Below are 16,030 nucleotides of genomic sequence, written 5' to 3' on the forward strand. Positions count from 1 at the left end.
TTTTTTCTCGTAAAAGACAATTCCTCATACAGCACGAAGCAAGCAGAGAACTACATAGCCAAGGTACTCTTCTAAAAGCCTGCACACATTAACTTATTTAATATCCAAAACAACCCTATAAAAGGGGGCCTATTTATTCCCATTTTACCAATGAGGAAATGAAGTCATAAATGGCATGTCCAATGCCACACAGTTAGTACTGGCATTAGTGGAGGTGTGAGGGACAGAGGTAGGAGGAGGTTGGTGTTTCTAAATCAGCTTGGAAATAAAAGCCAATTCAGCAAGATGTCTGCACACTCCAGACACACACCCAGCCACGCATGATAGTTCTCATTAAAGCAGCAGATGCTTCCACCCACCAATTACTTGACCGTTTCTTTAAAAACAAGCATCTTGAATCCCAATCTGTTGATCAGAAAAGAATGTCACAGGAGTAGATAAGGATCCACACAGTATATCCACTGCAAGTCAAAGTCTAGCCAGAGGTCAGGAGGAAATGACTGCTGTAGGCTAAACCAGAGCCAAGGACCCTTCACACACCTGATGTTTCCCATACAAAAGAGAACACCTGATGTTTCCCATACAAAAGAGAAAGGTAGTAACTGGAATTCACAAAAATGCAGAGATCCTCAAGGGCAACTCACTCACAGGGCAGTAACCTCCATCACTGTTTCAAAACAAGAATATACAGGGTAGGCAATGAGGGTGAACTTCATGGTGCCTCCAAAAGCAAGGGAAAGGCAGGCAGTGGCCTGGACTCCATCACGTGGAGAATGTGGACAAGTCTCCAACGCTTAGCATCCAGTCACTCTCACCTCCACTGTCTATCAGGCAGCCCAGAAGCTGTTTCTTCCGCTGGTCCCAGGTGCTGAGATGGGGGATGATGGTACAGATGTCGAGGTCTGAGAAGTTGCAGTCTTTGATGAGGCAATCCCCAAGCGGTGGTTCTCCACTTACTTTGCGGGTCAGCAGCAGAAGCACCTCAGGCCATCTCTGTTTTTCCAATAAGAATTTGAAGACGGTGGTGGCACAGTCTTGATTAATATCACAGACCAGGTCAGGAGGAATTTCTTTCAAAAATAAGAGTAAGACACATTCCAAAAATGTTCATATGATTTCTCTTCTTTCCCCAATCACAACCCAACATCCATATATAATTAACACGGATTATATAAACAAGTAGTTGATTATTTGGGCCATGTTGCTTAACCACTCATGAACATCAGTGTAATGACCTTGAGACTTCATGGGAAGATCAGAAATACCCTATGAAGAGTACAGACCCTGGCCCAGGAGACAGAAGAATGATGACTGTGTCTTAACGCAGAATACTTGAATTCAGAGTATTCTGCTGAGATCAGAAGGGCAAAAGCCTGACTTAAATTTTGCATGATATTAAGAGTGTCCTTTCCTAATAAATACTGAAATACAGAGAGATACTACAGAACAATTAAAACGTCAAGAGCCATAAGGTAACCATGAGAGGATGGCTTATCCCTTAATTCTTGATTTTTTATCATGATAAATAAATGTTTCCATCTGATCTTTGATGTCTAAAGACAGGATAAAAATTATCCCACTTCATACTGTTGGTGAATCTTAAGAGTAGAAAACTTTTTTTTTTTTTTTTTTTGAGATGGAGTCTCACTCTGTCGCCCAGGCTGGAATACAGTGGCGCGATCTCGGCTCACTGCAAGCTCCACCTCCTGGATTCACGCCATTCTCCTGCCTCAGCCTCCCGAGTAGCTGGGACTACAGGCGCCCGCCACAACACCCGGCTACTTTTTTGTATTTTTAGTAGATACAGGGTTTCACTATGTTAGCCAGGATGGTCTCGATCTCCTGACCTCGTGATCTGCCCACCTCAGCCTCCCAAAGTGCTGAGATTACAGGCGTGAGCCACTGCACCCGGCCAAGAGTAGAAAACATTTTAACAGATCTTCAGCAAGTAGATGGTCAGATTTAGCAAATAAAAACATAGGATGCCAATTAAATTTGAATTTTAGATGAACAACAAATAAATTTTTGTATAAGTATATATATGCAATATTTAGGGACATATTTATACTAAAAAATTATTCATTGCTTATCTGAAATTTAAATTCAACAGGGAATTCTGTATTTTGTCTGGCAACCCTACCACTAAGAAAGCAGGGAGGAAGAGCAGAAGGGGAGAAAAATCAAGGATTACCTAAATAAGAGCAACTTGATTTGCATTTGCTAGTTTCCGCTTCCCATCTTTTTCCAAGTTTTCTTAAAATGAATATTCATTTTAATATTTAAAATGTTCATTTTAAAATAAGAAGAAATTAAATATAGGCTAGTCTATCATCTTATTTTAATAGGAATCAGAATAAAAGTGTAAAAGGCAAACTATTTAAATCGGCATTTGCAATTTTTGTCCCCGGAATCTATTCACTCATCATCTGGTATCAGCCCTCTCCCACCTTCTGGCACTCTCTGTTGACATATGGATGAGATATGGTAGCATGTGATTTGGACCTAAGCCAATCAAGAATCTCCATCCTTCTGATCACATTCAGCTACAGAGGTATACATCATGATCCAAAGTGAAGCCTAGGACATTTGTTCGAACCACTGAAAGAGAGAGACAGACGGGTCCACAAGTCCAGAAATGTGGGACAAGTCAGAGATTAGAGACTTCAATGTCATCTCCACAGAGAGTCTGAGATGGAAGCCAACTAGCAGAGAGCTCAGTTGAAAGATGGGAGACAATGGGTCATAGTGACATTGGTGAGCTCCCTGAAGCCAGCTGTACTTGAAGCCAGCCTGGCACTTTTATTAGGAGAGTCAAAAAAAGTCACTTTTTTGCCAATTTTTAGCCCATTCGAGTCTGTCATTTTCAATAGGAAGAGCTATAAATAGCCTACCCTACGGCCAGTTAAGGATACAAAGAGGAAAAAAAAAGGAAAAGTGAAGACAGAAAAAAGTTAAAAAGGTTGGGTGGTTTAGAGACCCACTCAGCTCTGGAAGACAGTTGAGGGAGAGACCTTCAAGAAAGGTACAAAGAGTAAGGAATAAGAGGAAAGGGGAAAGTAACCAAGCCAAAGTGAGAGAAAGAAGAACCCACACCAACACTCACAATACCCTACAGAGAAAAAAAGGAGGCACAGGAACACAGGCCATAAGACACAAAGGACATTGGAAAAGCAGCATTCCCATCGAATGGGCTTTTATGAGATTTTTACCAAATACCATTAAATAAGGTTTTATTTTCACAACCCTAAGTAAAAATGAGGACAGTCTTCATGGGCCACAGATCAAATGACATTAAGTCCAAAAACCAAAGGCTCCCTAGATGTGGTTTGTACAGAATATCTACATCTAATAGATCCCATACAAAATGGCCCCATCCTAGAGTGTGTGTAACAGGTATGCTGGTTATCTTTGACTCACTGATACCTAAGAAAGAAAGGCTGACAACCTAGCCTCATCGCAACCCATCCTAACAGCTAACGAGTACTAGCATTTTATGTGCAGGACATTAGACTAATTGTTCTATATTCATTATCTCACGAGGTTAGTTCCCTACCCAAGGCAAGGGGATGAAGAAACTGAAGCTTAAAGAGGTTAATTAATTGGCCTAAGGTCACAGATCTGGTATGTTGGAAACAAGACTTGAATGCTAAACTCCAAGCCTTAAATACTATCATCTGCTGCACACCCTGAGTATTTTAGGTTTCTCTGGCCATGCCTTCTTGCACTCTTTGTAAAATGGAGACATCCCAGCCTTATGAAGTGTCCATTTTAAAAATATTATATTTTACCTACTTAGAATTTCTAGAATCTTCCCAAATTATTTAAATTTTTGTCATCTAAAGTTCTTTTCAGGAAGTTTCCTGATTTCCCCATAATGAAAAGGAAGAACATTCAATTCTACAATAACTTTATACTCCAACATTAGCCAGTATCTACAGAAGAGAGAAATATCTATAGTATTTTTTAAATGACTGTATATGCAAAGAGTAATTCTAGAAGGACACATAACAAGCTAGTAACAGGTTGTTTCTGGGGATGGGATTTAGGGGTTGAAGTTCAGGGGTATGTAATGGATTTTACACCAAAGAATGCTCTGTGCTGTCTGAATGTTTTACATGTAGATACATTATTTTTATTTTTTAAAATTAATTTCTGAACAGATATTAGAAAAGAATTTTAATGAACATAAATCATTTTTAACATCATTGAACGTTGTGGAAAAAATTACCTTGCAGAGTAGAAAGGAGACGCAAGAACCTCTGAACTACTTCCTGCTTCAGAAAGTTTTTATGCAATAACCGGTTTCCTGAGTTCATATACTTCACCAGCTGCTCCAAGACCTTCCTGAAAATGTCGTTTTCACTAGTGGGTCCATCACCATTGCTGAATCCTACAAAACAGCACCAGGTAATGCTTCTGAATACAGAAATTGCAGCTGTTACAGATTGCAAAAATAACCACAATTCTCCAACCCTCCACATACTCACATGCTGTGCAGTGTGACTTGCTGCTCCTCTCATCAAGAAGTGGAGCCTCTTTCCCCTCCACCCTCCCCTGATTCTGGACTAGCTTCATGACTTGCTATGACAAATAGAATGCAGTAGATGTGATTTTTGTGCCCTTTCTAAGCCTGGGCCTCAAGAAGCCTTGTATACTTCTGCTGACTTTCTTGAGGCTGTGGCCTTCATCATGTAAACAAGTCAGGCTAGCCTACTGAGAGATAAGAGACAACATAGAACAGGAAGGAATTGGCCTAGTTGTCCAAACTGAGACCCTATAGATGTGAAAGAAACCAGCCAACATCAGCAAAGACTGCAGACCCTTGAGTAAGTTCAATTAAGGCCATAAGAACAGCCCAGACTAAATTGCTGACCTGTAGGATCAGGAGCCAAATAAATGCTTGTTGGTTTTTGGGGGTTTTTTTGTTTTTTTGGTTTTTTTTTTTTTTTTTTTTTGAGACGGAGTCTTACTCTATCGCCCAGGCTGGAGTGCAGTGGCATGATCTCCACTCACTGCAACCTCTGCCGCCAAGGTTCAAGCAATTCTCCTGCCTCTGCCTCCCGAGTAGCTGGGATTACAGGCACTTGCCACCGCGCCTGGCTAATTTTTGTAATTTTAGTAGAGACGGGGTTTCACTATATTGGCCAGGCTGGTCTTGAACTCCTGACTTCATAATCCACTCGCCTCAGCCTCCCAAAGTGCTGGGATTACAGGCGTGAGCCATCACACCCAGCATGCTTCTTGTTTTAAGCCACGAAAATTGGAGTATTTTGTTATGCAGTAATAAATAACTGATATAACAATTCAGGGAGTGACAGCAGAAAGATGGCTTAGCACGATGGCAACATCCAACTACATGTCAGCCACCCAAACTTTTATGTCTTATTTGCAAGTGGAAAAGGCCAAGTAAGGAGCCATCTCTCTGGCCAAGGAAGGGAAGGCAATATCTTTTTCATTCAAGTTATTTGATAAAGTAGTCATGATGAGAAAACACCCACTGGCTGGGTGCGGTGGCTCACTCCTGTAATCCCAGCAGTTTGGGAGGCTGAAACGGGTGGATTGCTTGAGCTCAGGAGTTCAAGACCAGCCTGAGCAACATGGCAAAACCCAGTCTCTACAAAACATACACATGTACACACACACATACATATATATAGACATATTCATATATACAAATAAAATACAAAAATTAGCCAGGTGTAATGGCACATGCCTGTGGTCCCAGCTACTCAGGAGGCTGAGGCAGGAGGATTGCTTGAGCCCAGGAGGTTGAGGCGGCAATGAGTAATGATTACACCACTGCACTCCAGCCTGGGCAACAGAGCAAGACCCTGTCTCAAAAGAAAAAAAAGAGAGAGAGAGAGAGACAGAGAGAGACAGAGACAGAGAGAGAGAGAAAGAAAGAAAGAGAAAGAGAGAGAGACAGACAGAAAGAAAGAGAGAGAGAGACAGACAGAAAGAAAAAGAAAGAAAGAAAGAAAGAAAGAAAGAAAGAAAGAAAGAAAGAAAGAAAGAAAGAAAGAAAGAGTCACCGATGAAGTGTTGGAAAAAATGACAAATTTTTTTTATTAGGTATCAAAAAGTATTGTTAATTAAAATGGAATCTTACTGAACAGATAAGAGAGCAGAACTGGACATTTATTTTCACACCAAGTGAAAAGAGCCTGGCCCAGAGTAGCACTATCATGGTTGTGAAGAAATGAATGAATGTTCAATGTCATGTTCTACCAGAGTGGGAATACTTTAAAAGAGACAGCCTATTTGAAAACAGGAAAAAAATTAAAAGCATGCTTCAGTCAGGTTCCCTGGCAGCAGACACCAGATTTGTCCACAAGTAGTTTATTAAGGAGGAAGACCAGTAGGTGAGTGGGGGAAGCAGAGTAAGGGTGAGAGGGGAAGCCAAACCCAGGTATGCACTCAGGCAAAGTCCCACAGAGGGTGGTCTCAGCCTGATCCCACAGGAAGGCTCTGGAGTGTGAGTCACACTTCAGAGTGGTCCCTGTGCAAGGCAAAGGAAATGAGCTTTCATATTCTCGCATCTATCAGTCACTAGCTGCAGGCTGCCTTTGGACAATATAAATTCCCAGACATTTCTGGTTTAAAAAGAAGCAAGAGCAAAACAGCCGCTATAAGTCCAAAGACACTCCCTTGAAAACAAGCCTTGGGTGCTGACTTTTCAAACTGCACACACACCAATGTCAGGGGGTACTCAGAAATGGTGAAAGGGATCCAGGGGAATCCAGACAGAGCTCTCCAACATCTGCCACCCCTTCTGACACACATCTAAATCACACTTCAATAAATCAAGCCAGAACACCAGAAACATACACACATCCACTTCCGGGGCAAACACTCATTGCCCACTCTAATCAAGAGACGTTCAGGTGCCAGGCAGAAGGAAGATCCACTATAGCATCATCCTCCAGAGAACAGAAAATGATAATCATTTGGCAAAGAAAGACCCACATCACCCTGGCTGGAAGCTCACTGAGACTGAAATTATGTGTAGTAAAGCAATATCTGGCTAGCATCCCTGGACTTTCCCCTCCCATCTTCATCCTAAAATACCTATGAAGACAAACAAAAAAGGATGAAAACTCACAGTACAAAAAAAAAAATAGGACCTTTGGTAAAAGAGAAACTTCCTTCACTATCAAGCTGATGGAAACTTGCTGCTTGTCTGCCTGATAGAATCTTTGCAAAAACATCATTCTTCCCCCAGGAAAGTAAGTTTAGTAAAAAACTCACATGAAAATGAACAGAAACATACTAAGCTCAACAAAAGACACAATTAGATGCAGCTGCATAATAAATACATGATTACATGGTTCAGACTTGTTAAGAAGGCAGTTATAGATGAGCGAAAGATTCAAACATCAGGAAAGAAATCAGAGAATGATACAGATGGAAAGTTGCTAAATACTGACAAATGGTATCCCTTGGCAGGAGGGCTGTGGGTGACTTGTTTACTTCACTGATCTTTTCTGATTTTGTTTCTAAATTTCCTATAAGCTTAAAGAGTCAAAAGAAACATCAGGAAACAAAGTTGCTTATGCATTATAATCAAGAGTTTTTTAAAAGATGACTACGTAAGTACTGAACAACAAAAGACTGAATAAAAATGTGCTAACATGCAATTACAATAAATTTGCTTTTATATAAAACTATACTTTTACAAATTTTCAACAATGATCACATTTAGCAAATATAGCAGGTCCTCAAATAACATTCCTTTCAACAGAATTTCATTATAACATCGATGAGAAAACAAATTTGGTCCCCACCGGGGACACTGTGTGGAGTTTGCACGTTCTTCCCATCTTTGCATGGATTTTCTCTAAGTACTCAGGTTTCCTCCCACACCCCAAAGATGTGTACGATAGGTGAACTCACATGTCTCAGTTGTCCCAGTCTGAGTGAGTGCGGATGTGTGTGAGTGAGCCCTGCAATTGAATGGAATCCTGTGGAGGGCTGGCTCCCACTTGGCTCCCTAAGCTGCCGGAATAAACTGGCCACCTTCAACACTGAACTGGAATAACTCGGTAAATAATTATCTTACTTGTTTTTATTAACCTTTCTTAAATGTATATATAGCTCACATTTATTTCCATGTTTAATATTAGATCTTTATTTAGAAGTCTGGTGATGTTTTTGTGACCAAAACTATGCCTTAGGAACTTAACTCTTGTTTGTTATCAATTAACCTACCGTAAAACTGGTTTTGTTATACATCATTTTGCTTAAAGTCAGTTTCCAAGAACCTGTTAATAATGTTAAGTGATGACTTACTGTGTATATACACAGATTTGAAATTAAAAATTAAAAAGCTCTTCTGAAGTTGCAACCATAGTCAGAAGTAATAGAAAATAGAAATAAATTATTTCAAAAGGAGATTTCATTTTTGTCCAAAATCTTTTTATAAGGTTTAAAAAGCAAAAGTGTTAGGTTTTATTACATACATTTTTATCAATTTAAATTTACATTCTCATCACATTTTATAAAAGAAAATATAAATATATAACTAAAAATGCATGGAATAAGACTAAATGACCAAATCACAAACACATTAATTTTTTTCTGGCAGGTACAATTACAGATAATTAATAGTTTCTTTTCTACATTTCATAAATTTTCTAAGTATATAAAAAGATTGGTTTTATAAAAAGGAAGAAGTATGACAGACATCCTTTAAGTCAATACCCTATGCCTGCATATACTGAAAACAGGCACTGTCCTGGTGCTGAGCACAGCAGAAAGCAGCTGGCTCCCCACTGGAGGACCAGAAAGATAAGGATTCAGAGGCCTGATGTAAGCTGACTCGAAAAGGCCAAGAACTAGTAAATCAGAGAGAAGATCACAAACAACTGTGAGAAAAACAAAGGCTCCAATCTTGCGCTTCTTGGTCCCAAGGAAAGAGCTGAGCAGCAACATCAGGTAGAGAAAGTGGACATGCTGCCATCTGGTGGTGGCTATGAAAACTGGATAAAGACCATTCTGTAATCTTGACTATTTAGGACTAAAGCCTTGCTCCTCAAAGTGGTCCCTGGCTTGCCCTGGCAGCTAGTGAGAAATACAGAATCTCAGGTCCTGCCCTGAACCTGCTGAATCAAAACATGCATTTTAGCAGGCTCCCAAATAATTCATGTACATGTTAAGATGGAGAAACACTGGTTTAGAGAACAGCAGAAATCTTTAGCAAGACCCTTTATTTCTCACCTAGATGCCAAAAGCAGCCCCATCCTAAGAGATAAGGACCACTGTTATCAGCAAAATGGGGTACAGCAAACTTGAGGAAGAGTCAAGGGAGAAAGTATCTTTCATCATGGTCTGTAAATTGGAATGTTCATTCATCTGGATGTAAAACAACTCAAATCCTAATGTTATTGTGCTCAGGACCATAGATGCAAAAAACAAATGTTAGGCACAGATACAGCTCCCTAGCGGCAGCTCTTCCTAAAGACAATGCTTCCATCTGTCCCTTTAATGGATTAGGATGGGGAAGGATTAAGGTCCATAAAAACAAAGTAGATCCTCCTTCATTCCCATGGCCCTGGGCCTCCTCCTTTGATTCTCCCAGTCTCTTCAACTACTTTCTGGATAGAAACACCTTCTGGGAGCTAAAGTCTAAAGCTACATTATCCCATACATGGCCACTAACTTACATAAAATTACAGTTAATTAAATAAAATGAAATTTCTGGTTCTTCAGATGCATGAGCCACACACATTTCAACTGCTCAACAGTCACATGTGACGAGTGGCTATCATATCAGACAGAATAGGTGTAGGACATTTCCATCATCTAGGAAAATTATACTTCATGGACCTAGTCTAGAAAGATCCCCCAGCCCCACCTTAGGTTTTAAACTTTGTGCCATCAGTAAAATCTTAGAAACAAAATGTATGCATGTAACTCTATACAACTCTCTGGATGTATAAAGGAACAGTGATATTCAATATATAATTTCATTCAAAGATCATCACCTATAGAGTTCACATAGGCTTTATTTAGGCTTTTCCACAAGTTCTACTGCTGCGCCAGGAGTGGTGGCTCACGCCTATAATCACAGCACTTTAGGAGGCTGAAGGGAGTGGATCACCTGAGGTCAGGATTTGAAGACCAGTCTGACCAACAGAGTGAAACCCCATCTCTACAAAAAATACAAAATTAGCCGGGCATGGTGATGCATGCCTGTAATCCCAGCTACGTGGGAGGCTGAGGCAGGAGAATCGCTTGGACCCGGGAGATGGAGGTTGCAGTGAGCAGAGATTCTGCCATTGCACTCCAGCCTCGGCAACAAGGGCAAAACTCTGTTTCAAAAAAAAAAAAAAGAGAGAGAGAGAGAGAGAGTTCCACTGCCTAGAATACTTTGGGAAATATACAACTCCACCTTGCCAGCCCTTCCTGATTAACTTCTCCTCTTTACAGATTTTTTTTTACTAGTTCCTTTCACTCATGTTTCTCTATAGTCTTTCAATATTCCTCTAGCATGGCAAGAAAATCTTTGTGACCAGTGGCCTGGAAAACTTTACAGAAATCAAACGTCCAACAAGTTTACCATTGAGTACGGAAGGCTTTAGGCTTGACTGCATCCACTACCATCACAGGCTACCTGGTAAGCCAAATGGCAAGCTTGGAACGATGCACAGTCCTCTCATGCATGCTTTTCTGCCAAGCAAGTACAGGTGAATTCTAATGAGTGAAAAGGGGACACACTGAGATTCTACTGAGTCTCTTCTCTTGGTTCCAAACCCAGGTCACATTTAACTGGTGAAGGAAAGAGAAGAGAAGCGAGAGCAAGAACCTTGCCTCAGAAGACAAGGCATTTTTAGGATTAACAGATATTCAAGGATTGTATTATACAAGGAAACTAAAAAAAAAAAAAAAAAAAAAAAAACCTAAAACCTTAAAAACTAAACCAACATGAATGACTTAGGCCAAAGACTTTAACACTAAATAGAACATGCACAGTATTCTAAGAACTGAGATTAAAATTAATAAAATATAAAATTTGCAGGCTGAGTGCAGTGGCTCACATCTGTAATCCCAGCACTTTGGGAGGCGAAGGTGGGCGATCACCTGAGGTCAGCAGATCAAGACCAGCCTGGCCAACACGCTGAAACCCCGTCCCTACTAATAATACAAAAATTAGCTGGGTGTGGTGGTGCACGCCTGTAATCCCAGCTACTCAGGAGGCTGAGGCAGGAGAAACGCTTGAACCGGGGAGGCGGAGGTTGCAGTGAGCCAAGATCGTGCCACTGCACTCCAGCCTGGGTGACAAGAGTGAAACCCCGTCTCTTAAAAATATATATATCAAACAAGTCAGCCATTCTCTACCACTAACCAGTGGTTCTTCTTTTGCCATTATTTTAAAGCCTGAAAATTCACTGACCTGTTTGGCTACTTGGAGTTTCTCAAATCATGGAAACCATTCTGAAACTGAGATGATATGCACAAGCTCTCAAAAAGCATTCCACAATGACCTACTCATTATACAACCTCACGAAGAAATTAGTATTCCTAAAAACATGAGGTCATTTAAAAACTAAACATCATATGTCAAAGCTTTAAAAGAACACCCATGAAAAGGAAAAAAATAAAAAGAGGGCTCTACCCCTCTCTCCTTGTTCTCACAGTCTCATAGAAATGACATCTTTAAAATAAATAAATAAAAATTAAAACATAAATGGGGAAATGGAGTCAAGGGAGAAGTGTTTAAAAAGCAGCTTCAATCTCCCTCACATAAAACTTTTCTCACTCTGGCAATTGCAATAATCTGCAGCCTGACAGACTATCTCCCACCCCAACACATGCCCTCTACAGGTTGCCTGCAATTTGCTGCCCACTTGCACATTCAAGAGAGGGAGTGTTTCTAGGGAAGCACATTTAAATAACTGCAGGAAATAAATGCTTACCAACTATTAAGTATTAATCAATCTAGTCCTTCAGTCATACATACAAACCATCCAAAGATCAGAAGATAATTAGGGAAAAGGAATAGCACAAAAGAGAAGCAAGAAGTGAGTCAGGCTGGGCATGGTGGCTCATGCCTATAATCCCAGCACTTTGGGAGGCCAAGGCAGGTAGATCACTTGAAGTCAGGAGTTCGAGATCAGCCTGGCCAACATGATGAAATCCAGTCTCTACTAAAACTACAAAAAGTAGCCGAGTGTGGTGGTACATGCCTGTAATCCCAATGACTTGGGAGGCTGAGGCAGGAGAATCACTTGAACCTGGGAGATGGGAGGTTGCAATGAGCTGAGATCGCATCACTGCACCCCAGTCTGGGCAACAGAGCGAGACTTCGTCTCAAAAAAAAAGAAAATGAGTCAACTAACCCCAAAAGTAACATTAATAATTCAGAGAAGAAAGGAGAAACTTTTTTTAAAAAAAAAGTATTTGCTTTTTTAAATGCAATTCAAGAAGATGTGGCAAATATAAAACATGAATAAGCTGCTATAGATAAGAAACAATCAAAAGAGTTCTAGAAATTAAAACTATAATTTTCCAAATTAAAAAATGCAGCAATGGACAAGATAAATTATAAAAGGAGAAGTTTTAGATGAATTTAAAGATCTGGGAAGAGAAAAGGAGATAGAGACTAGTAGGGAAAGGTACAGAGACATATATTATAAATTCAAGAAGCTCATCCATTTAATAGCAGTGGCAAAGAGAAAAGAGACTTGGATGGGAACAAAATAATAGAGGATAATTCCCCTGAGCTAAGAAAACAGAATGCAAGGGGCCAACACGTGCCAAGCCAGAAGAATGAGGAAGGACCCATATCTAGATACATACTAGGGAAATTGCAGGACTCCGAGGACAGAGAAAATTCTAGAGGGGGAAAAAATGAGACTGACATCAGACTTCTGTCAGTAGCAATGGGAGCTAGAAGATAATGAAATAATTTATACATTGTGAGGAACAAGGTTTTACAGTACATTTCATAAAACTAAGATACCATAGATATCGATGAACATACCAGAAAAGACTGCCATTAAACTATGACATGTCACTGATTATAAAACACATTCCCATTTCAAAGATGTTAAAATTGCTGGGAGGCAGGGGGGAGTGTAACTTACTATTGAAGAAATACAATGCCTATATTCAGACAAATTATCCATCAATATGAGGGTAAAAGAAAGACATTTTCAAAAATTCTGTAAGTCTACTATCTATGCCTCCTCCATGAAAAACTTACTTGACCAAGTACTCCAACATATCAAGGAGGAAATCTATGTGGATAACAGTAGCCATAGGAGTCATGTATGAGTGCAAAAACTACAAGAAGTATAAAAATATATACATGTTTCATTAAACTGAGATGCTTAAAGAGTATCACATTTAAAGAGCAAAGTTTTCAGGACATTTGGCGATTCCTTTCTATAGGTCTGCCCATGTTACTAGTTGTAGAAAGAGTAACATTTACATAATTATACTACCATGCAAATGTCATTCACTAATTTGCAATTTTTAGAATCAATCTGTAGATGCAGCATGAAAAACTTAGAGTTAAGAAATAGAATATAAATGATACACGTAGCATTACTAAACAAAACCCAACAAATAGGACTGACACAGCCAAGCACTTCATCTTTTACGTGGTCTTGTCAGCAGATGCTGTCCAAAATTGATAAACCAAGAAATAGAGATGTACGTGTATTTTAAATTGTTGGCCATAATTGTTTCTAAGGAATAGACTTGATTTTGTTATCTCATATTCTGTCTAATTTTTTTCCTTTTTTTGCTGTGTACATGCATGGGAAAAAAAAAAAATCACCCACACTGTCAAAAGGTGGACTTGAAAAAGTTCCCAGAATGTCATAGCATCTCTCTAAATAAGAGCTATCTCATTCTACCTTTAAAAAAAAAAAAAAAAAGCAAACAAGTTTTCCAAAGATTGGTAGGTCTCACTTCCATATATATATGTGTGTGTATATATATATATACCAAAAAGAGATAAACTGATTTGTATCTAATGTCACAGAACCAGTTTTATGCCCCCCAAAAGTTAATACACTGGAAGCTGTACCTGATAGGTCCTTAGAACACGTAGCTAGCTTTTCTAAGTGACTGTTGATTTTCTCGATGGCTTTGAAGTTCTTATTCCTCTTCAGGACATCCACAACAGACCGAGACTGTCGATCCAGCAAAGTGGGATCTGCCCCAAAGCGCAGGAGCATCTGCACATCCTCTGTTTGTCCTAGGGCAGGCCAAAATGAGAAGGGGTGTTTGTCATGGTTCCTTCCATAAGATGTCCCCATGAGTGCTCTTCTTCTCAGTCTCCTCCCAAGCAGCCCAGGGCAAGAGGACTAGGGTCTTCTGTTTGTGGAGCCTGCACTGCTAGCCTCAGGTAGTCCACTCAACTCCCTGAAGCAAGGAGTTCTTTGTGGAGTGGGAAGGACAATAGCTTTCAAGAGGTTCAGAAGTGCGCTCCTCTCTACCTTTCTCCCCTCTCCTTGGTAACAAGCAAGGAGAGGGGGAATCTGGTTACTAAGCAACAGTTACAGCTGTAAGGATAACATCAAGCTGTGACTTCAGATTTCTTTATTCCCTAGAGAGGAAACAAAATATTCTTCCAGGAGAAAAGTCTGCCTGGAGACAGGACATGAAAGCGGTGATTGCTTTGGCATCAGGGGCTGTTTTGTTGTCACTGTTACCACCCTCCTAGCCCCAACTCCCTGGATGCCAACTCCATTTGCTGCTCTGATGTATCCATTTGCCAAGCATCAACGTATGTCTGTGGTCACAGATGCAACTGTTTGCGGAATGAAACAGGTATATCCCTGGGGGTACACAAAGACTTAAATGGGCACAGAGAGTTAAATGACTCAATGCCTAATCTCCAAATTCCATATGTAAGCTTTCCTAAAATTCACCTCCTGAGAAGGCAACTGCACTTCTCCCACTTTACCAAAAAAAAAAAAAAAGAATTAAGTCATATTTCCCACCCATCGAGAATCTCACTGTGGTAGGCAGAATTCTAAGCCCCCAAGATTTCTGACCTGCTGTGCATCCACACTTTTTCCCAGTTATTCAATCAAATACTAGCCTAGGTGCTGCTGTGATGAAATTTTGCAAATGAAACAAAGGTCCCAAATCAGTTTATCTTAATATAGGGAGATTATCCAGAGAGGCCTGACCTAATCACATGAGTCCTAACAGTCAAAGTTCTAGAGGTCAGAGATTCAGAGTATGAGAGGGATTTGATGCACAAGAAATTCTCCTCTGCTGGTTTTGAAGATACAAGAGGCAGGACAAGGAATGTGTGTGGCCTGCAGAAGTCAAGAGCAGCCTCTGGCTAATAACCGGCAGAGAAACTGGGATCTCAATCCAACAATGGCAAAGAACTGGATTCTTCCACAACCATGTGAGCTTAAAAGCAGGCCCAGAACTCCAGATGAGAACATAGCCAAAGCCAACACCTTCAGCCTTGCAAGACACTGAGCAGAAAACTCAGTCACATCATGTCACTCTACTGACGTATAATAAATGGGTGTTGTTTCAAGCCACTAAGTGTATGGTGACACAGCATAACTATAGTATACTGCCCCAAAGGGGGTAAAAACTCCTAACCTCCAGGGTATCAACCCAAAGGACAATTAAAACTAACTGATACCTGCAAAACGTCTTTTAAAAGGCACTACATAATCCATCCCCTACCTACTTCCCCCCAGAATTTTATTTTTATGTTTAACAATTATAGAAATTTCACTATATTTATGTTGTTTTGATAAGCTCCATATTGATAATTAGGAATAATTCAATCCAGAAAAAAAGTAACGCTTAGAGCCTTACAATCACAGAAATGTTGGGAGGACGTCATTTCCATTCTATTAAATACAAGTAAAGAAGTGAAATAACAGTTTTATTTTAAAATATCCATGTGTACAAAATTATACAAAATTCCAGATGTCAACTTAAATACATGCAGAGAGGTACACAGGTTTTCAAAATTCTTTAAGGGGGGATAAGGAAGCAAAATTTGAAAACCACCAACAAATAAGACTTATTTTTTTGTCTGGTC

General features: G+C 40.0%; 1 protein-coding gene across 13 annotated transcripts in view, besides 2 other annotated features; it reads right to left on the minus strand.

Moving 5' to 3' along the window:
- TRANK1 (tetratricopeptide repeat and ankyrin repeat containing 1) overlaps nt 1-16,030 on the minus strand; it is a 118,926-nt gene that overhangs the window by 33,272 nt on the left and 69,624 nt on the right. For 10 of the 13 annotated variants that reach the window (NM_014831.3, NM_001329998.2, XM_047449326.1 and 7 more), the window contains 3 exons: nt 14,036-14,206; nt 4,229-4,390; nt 816-1,070 (listed from right to left, as the gene is read on the minus strand). In NM_014831.3, the coding sequence (NP_055646.2) occupies nt 816-1,070; nt 4,229-4,390; nt 14,036-14,206 (588 nt within the window). The remainder of the gene's footprint in view (nt 1-815; nt 1,071-4,228; nt 4,391-14,035; nt 14,207-16,030) is intronic. The other 3 variants (XM_017007570.2, XM_047449328.1, XM_047449329.1) reach the window with 1 other exon arrangement.
- Nucleotides 5,606-5,781: a silencer, noted in NCBI's record as "fragment chr3:36907187-36907362 (GRCh37/hg19 assembly coordinates)". NCBI's record gives its function as "represses an EF-1alpha promoter that drives an FKBP-Casp9 reporter gene in an ReSE screen in K562 erythroleukemia cells {active_cell/tissue: K562}" and the evidence as "EXISTENCE:reporter gene assay evidence [ECO:0000049][PMID:32094911]".
- Nucleotides 9,012-9,071: an enhancer, noted in NCBI's record as "active region_19660". NCBI's record gives its function as "activates an Ori minimal core promoter by ATAC-STARR-seq in GM12878 lymphoblastoid cells {active_cell/tissue: GM12878}" and the evidence as "EXISTENCE:reporter gene assay evidence [ECO:0000049][PMID:35858748]".

This window comes from Homo sapiens, chromosome 3, assembly GCF_000001405.40.
Source record: "Homo sapiens chromosome 3, GRCh38.p14 Primary Assembly".
NCBI lineage: Eukaryota > Metazoa > Chordata > Mammalia > Primates > Hominidae > Homo > Homo sapiens.